This window comes from Homo sapiens, chromosome 1 (genome assembly GCF_000001405.40).
Source record: "Homo sapiens chromosome 1, GRCh38.p14 Primary Assembly".
Taxonomy (NCBI): Eukaryota; Metazoa; Chordata; class Mammalia; order Primates; family Hominidae; genus Homo; species Homo sapiens.
In genome coordinates this window covers 116,169,363-116,180,201 of record NC_000001.11, presented here as the reverse complement: position 1 = coordinate 116,180,201, position 10,839 = coordinate 116,169,363, and the positions used below count along the sequence as shown (strand labels likewise).

At 44.4% G+C, this 10,839-nt stretch overlaps 2 annotated features.

Annotated features, from left to right (window-relative positions):
* Nucleotides 8,700-8,994: a silencer, noted in NCBI's record as "tiled region #10090; HepG2 Repressive DNase matched - State 5:Enh, and K562 Repressive non-DNase unmatched - State 21:Repr". NCBI's record gives its function as "represses a minimal TATA promoter and a strong SV40 promoter by Sharpr-MPRA in HepG2 and K562 cells {active_cell/tissue: HepG2 | K562}" and the evidence as "EXISTENCE:reporter gene assay evidence [ECO:0000049][PMID:27701403]".
* Nucleotides 10,382-10,565: a silencer, noted in NCBI's record as "fragment chr1:116712258-116712441 (GRCh37/hg19 assembly coordinates)". NCBI's record gives its function as "represses an EF-1alpha promoter that drives an FKBP-Casp9 reporter gene in an ReSE screen in K562 erythroleukemia cells {active_cell/tissue: K562}" and the evidence as "EXISTENCE:reporter gene assay evidence [ECO:0000049][PMID:32094911]".

Here is a 10,839-nt window from a genome sequence, read left to right as displayed (position 1 = left end):
ATGGCAACCTGGAGTCTGCACATCTCACACCCTGGTGTCCAGAACAATGGCCATGTGTTGGATAAGTGTGTGTTTGTGTGTGTACGCACTCAGGGCCACTGCACACCCCAGTGGCTATTAAGTAATCAAAAAGTGCGCATGGAAGACTTATGTTGATCACCCATGGGAAACAGAAAGTGCACCTTTTTGATGCTTTGGACCCGGGGTTAATAAGCTACACCCCATGGGCAAAATCTGCTTGTTTTTGCATAGCTCTCAAGCAAAGAATGGTTTTCACTTTTTTAAATGGTTAAAAAATCAAAAGAAGCCTCTTTCATGACATGTATAATTATATGAAATTCAAATGTCAATGTCTATTTTAAAAGTTTTATCAGAACATAGCCCCACTCCTCTGTTTACATGTTATCAGTGGCTGCTTTTACAGTTAAAATAGGACTGTGACAGAAACCATCTGGCCCAGAAAGTCTGAAGTATTTACTCTTGAGCTGTTTACAGAAAAAGCCTGTCCACTCCTGGTCTAGGCCTTCCATTCAACAAACTTTCACTGAGAATAGGCTCGTGTCAGGCTCTGGGTCACCCCTGGTGACTGGGAATACTGATGAATAAAGTGTGGACTTTGTCCTCATCTGGCTCAGGGTCTAGTAGGGGAGCACAGAGGCCGGGTGCAGTGACTCATGCAGGTAATCCCAGAACTTTGGGAGGCCAAGACAGGAGGCTCACTTGAGTCCAGGAATTCAAGACTGCAGTGAGCTATGATTGCACCACTGCACTCCAACCTGAGCAAGAGAGTGAGATCTTATCTCAAACAAAAAGAGAGCACAGAGTGCAAACACCTAATCCAGGATGTTTCTAGAGATGCCAGGCCCACTCTTGGATACCCTTCACCAAGTTTGTGTAGAGATCCCAGTTTGAGGTAACCTGCAAGGGATCCTAGGCAATCATGATTCCACTGAGGGCACAATTCAATTCTGTAAAAGAGCAAGCTGGTCCCTTGAAGCATAGCCAGTGGTCCCTGCAGGTGCCCAGAATATAGGGTGGCTCTCATATCCAGGTGACATCCTGTGCCAACCTGTTCTGACTGGTGCTTTGCAAACAGGTGTAGGGAGGCACACTCATGGTAGGCTGAAGTCCCTCAGGCAGCTCTCCAACAGTCCGTGGGTCACCTGTCTGCTGTGTATGGCCATGTGCCCTGTTCCCTTGGAGGATTGTTTTATTGCTTCACTGTTACCTTTTTATTGCCTGTTCAGCATGCAATCTGGTCTCTCCTGGCCTCACATGGATTTATAATGTCTCCTGCCCTGAGTAGACTCACCAAGTCTTCTGATGCCTCCTTTGGGGAGACTTCTCACAGGAGTCAAGGCAGAGCCAAAGACGTTCAGCACCAAGCATGAAGCGTTATCAGTAAAGCAGTGAAATGACAAAATACCATTCAACATGCCAATACCTAAATGTGGACCTGTTTGTTGCAGACCTACCTTCTACCAAGGATCCTTCTACCAAGGGTGACTCGACCAGGCTAAACCTAAAGGTTATACAGATCAAAGGGCACCACTTTCCTCAAAGCCGAATGCATATACAATACTTGCATAATGGAATCTATGAGCTGGGTTCAAAGATAATGGATGGGGCTAACTGGGGTTTTGAATGTGAGCCTTATCCATAACTAAGGGAATAAGATGAACTCCTTTTGCTGCTGAATGGGCAGGAACATGAGATGGTCCAGGAAAAGTCTCCAAAAGCACTAATTGGCAAGGAGAGAGGTAGGTCACATGGAGGGACCTGCTGGGGAAACAAACTCTGAGCAGGGCATCTGGGGCCTCAATATGGAGGGTGAGGGGTGCATCCACACCTGGCTGAGGAGGGAGGATTGCTGCGGCAAAGGTAGCATTGCCTGCTATGGAAGGGGCATGCCGGCAGAATGAACTTTGTGATCTTAGGGAGAGAGTTGAAAGGGACTGTGAAACTTAGAAATAAGTAAAAGATGTCAATGCGTAGAGGGGTGGCAGTGCTACAGGTTGTGTAATTTACTCTTCTCACCTGTTTTCAGGTTCTATTTTTGCCCAGCTGGGCTGAAGATGGCCCCCAGCATGCTGAGCCAGTGAGTGACACTTGTCTGTGTTTACTACATCAGCGCCTCGGTCTGTGAAGTCCCAGGCTGGGCTGGTGTCCTGTTGGATTAACACAGGACAGGCCACATGGTCCTAGAGAGCCCTAAGCCCTAAGGAAGCTCCACATGCATTATCACCTCCACCACCAAGATACCTCACTTTCTGGAATGTTGTATATAAACAAAATGTGTATAATTTGAATGAAAATACCAATGCCCTATTGGAAATTACATTTGCAATTTACATTTGTATCATGCTTCACAATGTTATAAGCTATTTTCAAATACATGATTTTCCCCTAGTCTTTGTAACAGTCGTGAGAGGTGGCTATTATCACCACTATTTTACAGCTAAAGGTGGTGAGACTGTGTGAACATGCTACTTTGCACAACTTCCAGAGGCTAGTAAGCTCTGAGTTAGTAAGTCCAGTGGCTCCACAATGTCCCCAGAGATCCCTGTTCTTTTCATCTTCCCACTCTGCCTTCCTCACCACTCAGTTCTGTCCGCAGGCTTACTTCCTCGGTGGCCACGGTTCCAGGTACCACATCCTCATACCACAAAACTCAGTAGCAAAAAGGGACCATGTCTTCTTTGGGTTCATTTTTAAGATTAAAGAAATCCTCACTGGAAGCCCTTGCCTGCAGACTTTTTCTCCTGCCATGTTAGCTGGAATAGGGTCATATGTCCAGTCTTAATCTAATTGCTGGAAGCAGGGATGAATGATCAGCATTGGCTTGGATAAAGTACGTTGACTGGTTACACTATAAATTCATGACTACCAACCTCAAGAACTCTCTTAATGCTGCCTTGCAATCATACCATATTTTCCTAGACTAGTGAGTCTTAAACTTAAGTGTGCATCAGAGTCACCTGGAGAACTTGTAAAAGCCCAGATTGCTGGGCTTGGCCACAGACCTTCTGATTCAGTAGGTCCAGAGTGGGGCCTGAGAATCTGCATTTCTGACAAGTTCTCAGGTGATGCTCATGCTGATGCTATAGGTTCTGGGATCACACTTTGGGAGCCACTGCTCCAGATCATTGACTATCCCTACTGTCCAAGACAACAGCCATTTGCATAAGCTTTTTCCTCAAACTTCTGACACCTCCCTTCACACATTTCTCAATCTCAACTGATAATTTTGTTGCTAATTTCATTGAGAACAAAGAAAAACAATCAGAAGAAAACATGATCCCACCATCAGATCTACCAAGTACTTGTACACTGACTTCCTTTCTGCTACTTTTTTTTTTTTTTTTTTTTTTTGAGACAGTCTCACCCTGTCGCCCAGGCTGGAGTGCAGTGGCATGATCACAGCTCACCGCAGCCTTGACCTCCCAGGCTCAAGCACTCCTCCCACCTCTACCTCTCGAGTAGCTGAGACTACAGGCTCACCACCATGTCCAGCTAATTTTTTTGTTTGTGTGGAGACAAGGTTGCACCATGTTGCCCAGGCTGGTCTTGAGCTCCTGAGCTGAAGTTATCTGCCTGCCTAGGTCTCCCAGAGAGCTGGGATTACAGATGTGAGCCACCACGCTGTCCTTTCTGCTACTATGAATGAACTGCCATGCTCCTGTTCAAGGCCAGTTCTTCCATCTGTCTTTGGACCTTATCTCCTCTCACCTATCCAAGGACATGACTCCAAAAACTCTTCCGCTCCACAAGCCATTTCCATCAGCAAACATGCTCTGATATTTTCCATCCTGAAACAAAACAAATGAAAACCCCAAAACCTCCCTTGACCCCAAACCCTTGTTAACCCTGACCTCAATTCTGTTTTAGAGCAAAATACTTGAGATCTGTATATACGCACTCTCTTCATCTCCTTTCCTTTCATTGTCTCTGGAGTCTAGTCCAGTCACACTTTTATTCCCTTTTCTTTAGTGATAACCTCCTGGTTTCTAAATCCAGTAGTTAAGTCTCAGTTCTCATCTTACTCTACCGTTAGCAGCATCTGACCCAGCTTGTCACTTCTCTGTTGGCCTCTAGGTTCTCCTCCCTCCTCCATGGCTGCTCCATCTCAATCTTCTTCAATGAGTTTTCTTCATGTCATTGACACCTATTTAAATATTCTCTCTTGAGGTAGTTTCATCCAGTGTCAGACTTTAAATGCCGCCTGCATGCTGTGACTCCAAAATTGATATCTCCAGCCTAGACCTCTCCACTGAATTTCAGACATATGTATCCTATAGTACTAACTGCCATCTTCAGGTATATAATGGGCATGCCAGCCTTGACATCTTCGAAACTGATCTCTTGATTCTTTCCTAGCCACACAGCACACACACATGCCAAGTTCCTCTTCCTACTCTCAGCAAGTAGAGACTCCATTCTACTTCCTCAGGCCAAAAAGCTTAGAGTCATCATTGACTGTACTCTTCTTTCTCACATACCACACCAAAAACATCAGCAAAACCTGTTAGGTCTACTTTCAAAATGTATCCAGAATCTGACCCCTTCTCACAGCTTCTTCCACCGCTGCCTCTGGTCCAAACCAACTTCATTTCCTGCCTCCATTGTTACAAAAGCATCTTACCTGGTCTCCCTGCTTCTTCCCTTGACCCCCATTACCGATTTTCAACACAGCCAGCCAGAGCGAGTCCATTAAAATGGACTTGGCAGCTCAAAATCTCACTCAGAGCAAAGCCAAAATCCTTACAAAGGCCTGAAAGGGATTTGCGGGACTACCATTCTGACTTTATCCCCTCTGCCTCTCTCTCACTTCTCTGTAGCCACGCTGACCTCCTTGCAGTTCCCTGAACATATCAAGCAAATACTTGCCTCTCCACTTACTGGCACTCTGCTGGGAGTACCCCTCCTGCACATATCTTTGCATCTAGCTCCTTCAGGTTTCTGCTCAGATGTCTCCTTATCAGAAAGATCTTACCTGACATTCCTAGATGAAGTAGGAACAACCCCCTACCCTCACTTCCACCTCAACCCTTTCTCTTCCCCTCATTCTACCTTGATTTTCTGGCAGCCCATATTATTATCTGATATATCAAATACTTATTTACTTATCTTATCTCTTCCCCTCTAGAATGTATGTAGCATGTACATACAGGGAATGTATGAAGCAGGGAATCTGAGCCCATAGCAGGCATTTAATAAAATTTGCTAAATAATTAATGGAAAGAGAGTTTCCACAGTAAACCAACAGATAGGCAACTAGGTTATTGCACCTTGGGCCCTTACAAGTTGGATTAGTGATAGTCAGTCCCCACAGAGCCCCATCAACTCTGTTATTTCCAGACTGAGCTTCTGGATCTACAAAGCCAAGAAACAGACTCTGGACTACGTTATCTCCCTGTAGGTGCTGTCTTTCTGAGACCCCTGGCTAGCAAGCTTCCCTCAAAGCATCTCCATCTCCTCTCAGATTCTCTAAGTCCTGGGTCCTTGGTATTTAAAGAAAACTGTGGCAAATTCTTTTTGAAATACACATAATCCCTCCCTGATTAAGTTCCCAACTATTAACTTTTGAACACTGTTTTTCTCAAAGCTGGTCACACAGGTATTCACCCACAAAACACACACACACACACACACACACACACACACACACACACACCACTTAACTGGCATAGTTCACTCTCTGCTTCCTGCCACAAGATAGCACCCTCAATTAAACAACGACTTGGTCAGCCAGAGTAGGATAATTTTGATGGTTGTTTCTAGTCACAGTATAACCACCTGTACCTTGACAAGAAAATTGATTATTATATCAGGAGACTTCACTCTTATTGGCATTGATGCAACTTTCTTTTTTCATGTAAGTCAAACCTTTTCCCATCCCCAGACAATGGTGTTCTTTTGTTAAAAATAGAAAAATACAGCATCCTGTGAAAATGGCAAGAATTTCCATGAGGAATTGTCTTGCTTGGAACCTTGCCTGCATGGTACCTAATATATGCCTGTGCTGCTAAGAGAACTGAAGTGACCTCTTCAGGTGATTTTTTTCTCTTCTGTGAAAGATTGCACTTCAGGTTTTGGGACAATCCAATAGATCATGAGATTGGCAAAAGGAGATGGGGGAGCCAACTGGAAATGAGATAGTAGCAGCAGCCTGACCTCTCCTGCACCCCATCCACCAAAGGGATTAAATTTAACTAATTGGCTAAGAAGCTAAGGCAAGGGTCTTGCGCTTTGGAAAGGGTTAGAAAGACTTTTATGATCTTACTATGGTGAACCATCAATGATATAACTGATGCAAGGTGTAGCTAGCTTGGAACAAGCCATATGAAAAGCAGGCAAATTCCAAGTCAGTAGATAAAGCTTAACTGAGTGAGTCATTAATTCTCCATATTGAAAAGAGGAGGAAAAATTCCCTTAATCAAGACACTAAGAACAAATTGGGGGCATTTAGTTATGAACAGGGCAGTGTGAAGGAGTGTATGTGTTACAGACCTCTCAGTGAGCGCCCTGTCTCAGCTAAATCATTAGAGCTGCTGCTGTGCCTGGGGACCTCTGCTCATCTGGAGAATGTGGGGATACTATCAAGACTCAGGATGTGTCCAGAGAGAACTAAACACACTCAAGAGCAGTGCTTCTCACACTGAACTATGCCCTCAAATTGCCTGGGCAATCTTTCTTAAAAGCAGATGCTCATGAAGTAGGTCTAAGGGGCAGCCTGGGATTCTATGTGTCTAACAAGTTGATGCCAATGATGCTGGTCCAGGGACCTCACTTTGAGTAGCAGGGGTTAGTACTATACAGTCTGCAACCTCATTTCTCTTTGCAATGATGGAATTGCCAAAGAGGTAGATTTAGATACATAACTGATTAGGTCAGTAGTGTGAGCATTGCTTCTCAAAGTGTGGTCCAAGGACTAGCAGCACAGGCATCACCAGAGAACTTGTTGGAAATGTGAATTCTTGGGACCTTCCATAGAATTTCTAAACCAGAAACTGTGGGAGTGGGACCCAGTAATCTGTATTTTGATAAGCTCTATGAATGATTCTGAGGTGCACTAGAGTTTTGAGACCAACTATTCCATCACATTAAAATCACCTGGAAGTTAGAAACAAACAAAAACAGGACACGGGTCCCACCTCAGAGAATCTAAAGGCATCCATGGAGATTTTTATGTGTTGTCAGCCTTGAGAACAGCTGGGCTAGAGCAGAAAGTCAATCCCACTCATGAAGTTGATTTAACTCTAAAGCATCTCAGTAAATCACCACAGGCTAGTGGTAGAATGTGGACAGGTATCTGAACAATGTGCACCCTGGGGCTCTGGGGCTGCAAGTCTGAGAGGATAAACAATACAGAACAAAGTCCTGGCTCCTCTCCCTGACATTGGGGCCCAGGTTTCTTGCTCTCTGCCACCCTACACATATCCCAGGTTGCCACCACACATTTCCCTGGCTAGCCAGTCACTCTGCCTATCCTCATGATGTGCTGTGGCTGAAATGTCTCCCTGCTATAGTGTCATCAGTCAAAAGTTTCACCCATCCTTAAAGGCCAATATCAAACTCCAGGTCTTCCAGAAATCTCTTGCTAAACTCCCTAGCTATTAAACTTATCTGTCCATAGAATTCCATGGCATGTTATATGCGATACATTTAGGTTTTTTCTTGACTCTTCCCTTCTATTTGATTATAAACTCTTGGACACCAAGAACCACATTATACTTAACTTTGCCTTTCTTGTTTTGGTGTAAGTGCTGGGCTGTGAACCTAGTAGGCACTTAGTAAGTAAGTATTTATTGACTCTGGGGTCAGAAAACTTGAGTTTGAGATCTGTCTTTGCAATTGGTGGCTTTGTGACCCAGGTTATTAGATCTCTCTAAGCCTCCAATTACCTTCTCTGTAAATGTGAACTGGATGATCTTCAAGGCCTCTTCCAGATCTCAGATTCTTCTATTCTCTCCAGCCTATTCATATCCATGGAAAAATAAGTCTAAACATAAAATTTATTGATACTGGGTACTGTGGATTAGAGATGGTCACAAATTATTTGATCGGTGTCCCTTAGAGATATGGGGTTTATTTCCCCTCCCCATGATTCTGGGCTACACTGGGACTTGCTTTGACCAATAATAACTGCAGAAGAAGTGACAATGTGCCAGCTACGGGCACAGTAAATTGGTGTGTGAGAGACTCCGAGGAGAGGCCTTGAGTCTACATGGAGAGAGGGACCCATGGACTCCAGCCTTGCAGCCATCCCAGCCAATGTGCCAGATATGTGAGTCAAACAGTTTTGGGCCCTCCAGACCCGCCTCACCACTAGTTGAATACCACCAAGTGACCCCAACCTGTGTCACTCTGGAGCAGGAGAATCATCCAGCCCAGCCCTGCCCTAATTCCTGATCTAGAAAATCATGATACATAATAAAATGGTTGCTGTTTGGACAGGTGCAGTGGCTCATGCCTATAATCCCAGCACTTTGGGAGGTCGAGGAGGGCAGATCATAAGGTCAAGAGATCGAGACCATCCTGGCCAACATGGTGAAATCCCGTCTCTACTAAGAATACAAAAATTAGCTGGGCATGGTGGCATGTGCCTGTAGTCCCAGATACTTGGGAGGCTGAGACAGGAGAATTACTTGAACCCAGGAGACGGAGGTTGCAGTGAGCTGAGATCGCACCACTGCACTCCAGCCTGACAACAGAGTGAGACTCCATCCCAAAAAAAAAAAAAAGTTGCTGTTTAAGCCACTAAGTTTGAGGTTGTTTGCTATGTAGCAATAGCTAACTAGCACATGATGTTAATGGCATTATACTTGTCTGTGAAATTCTATGCAGTTTAGCATGCAAATATTGACAGATGTTGGAGAAAATATACGCAAATACACACATACATAATATGGGCTTGTGGAGGTGCATGACATTCTGTGCTATTCCCATTAACTTTGATTTCTCAAGTCAACTAAAATGGCCTGTGGATACATTTCCACAGCAAAATGTACAACAACTAAAAACAAGAACCTCCTTGTGAATTTTACTGAGGTCTGTGATGTGGCACCAAGTTCTATGTTGGGACTTGTGGAGGAGATGTAGGAAAAGCCGGTGAATTGTGCTGAAGGCTTGAGAAGGTGGGGTCCTTATACAATGAGGGCTTTGTCTGCTCATGAACCCTGTGTGGCCATTTCCTAAGGTAGAATTTTTAGTTTGGGAGAGATTTGCATTTTGAAAAAGAGGATTTTATTTCCTTCTCTCTCCAACTAATTTAAACCTCCCTCATCCCAAGGGAGATTTTTAGTGCAGTATAATAAGGACGCGTTCAGAATCACAGCCTCTTTTTCTGAATGTGTTTCTTATGTAAATGCTGCATCAGAGAAATTTCCCTCTACTTTACACTTTAATTCTGCTTTTAAAACCTGCAAAATAGAAACACAGAGAAAAAGACACCTTGAAAATACTTTGAGTTTCATCTATTTTCCATTTTTACCTCAGGCTCCCACATTTTATTTTTCATCCTTATTCTTCAAGTCAAGTATATTTTAAAACCATCCTCTGTTGAACTGGAAAAGCAAAGAAAAATTATGATTCCTATACATTAAGCTGCCCAAATATACCAAGAAATGCAAGCACTTTATAATGATCTAATAATCTCCGGATGCCACAGTGAAGCCAGAAGACCCACAGGAGGGGAGTCAAGGGACTTCTTAAGAGGTCCCATCTGAAGCCACTGTGGCCCCCTCCCCCACACCACAGTACTTCTGGAGGGGATGGGACAGGCCTGGTTCCATAGTTCTCTTACCTCCTGCCCTTAGGAAGAACTGTGTATTTAGTGTTTATGGCCCACCCACGGTACTCCAAACAACATCTAGCCTGAAACACCTCACTATAGTGATTTGTTGATATGTCCATTTGGTCCCTTGGGAGCAAAAGCAGTGAGGGAGAGAAGAATTATATCTCATTTCCATGGCTTCAGACAGCCAAATAGTACTTAAAGATTGAAAAATGTGCTTGGTCGGGCACGGTGGCTCACACCTGTAATCCCAGCACTTTGGGATGCCGAGGTTGGAGGAGTGCTTGGAGGAGTGCTTGAGACTGGGAGTTCCAGACCAGCCTGGGCAGCATAGCAAGACCCCAATGCTAGAAAAAAAAATTAGGTGGGCCTTGTGGCACATGCCCGTAGCCTCAGCTAATCAGGAAGCTGAGTCAGGAGGATCGTTTGAGCGCAGGGAGTCAAGGATACCATGAGCTATCATTGTGCCACTGCATTCCAGGCTGGGAAGCAAAGGAAAAAGCCGTCTCTAAAAAAAATTTTGAGAAGAAAAATTTAGAAAATATGCTTACTGAATAACTGATTGAAAGAATGGGTTTAAATATCAATTTAGGTACTTACTAGCAGCATTTCCTTGGGCAAGTTATTGAATCTCTAAGCAGGCCCTGGTTCCCTCCTCTGTGAAACAGAGAAAAGTTGCAACCAGCTCATGGATAGTTCCGGGGAATAAAGGGGGTAACATTTGTGAAGTGTGTGGCAGTATGTACCAGGCACACAGTAGGTTCTCAACTAAGGGCCCATCACACCGCCCCTCCAGACTCATCTGCTAACGCTCACAGAAGGAGTGGACCTTGCTTATGGGGTTGGGGAGCACCTGTAGGGTTTGCTGCACCCACAGCACTGCTCCACTTTCCTGGCTCTTGCTTGAATCAATGTCCTTAAGAACTTCGTCTAACTGGAGGCTTAGATTCTACTTTAAAGATAACTCTTTGGGGGGTGGGAGGTCCTTTAAGTGCCTATCAGTCACTGAAACCTCGGTATGAACTAGTTCCAGATCCTCCTCA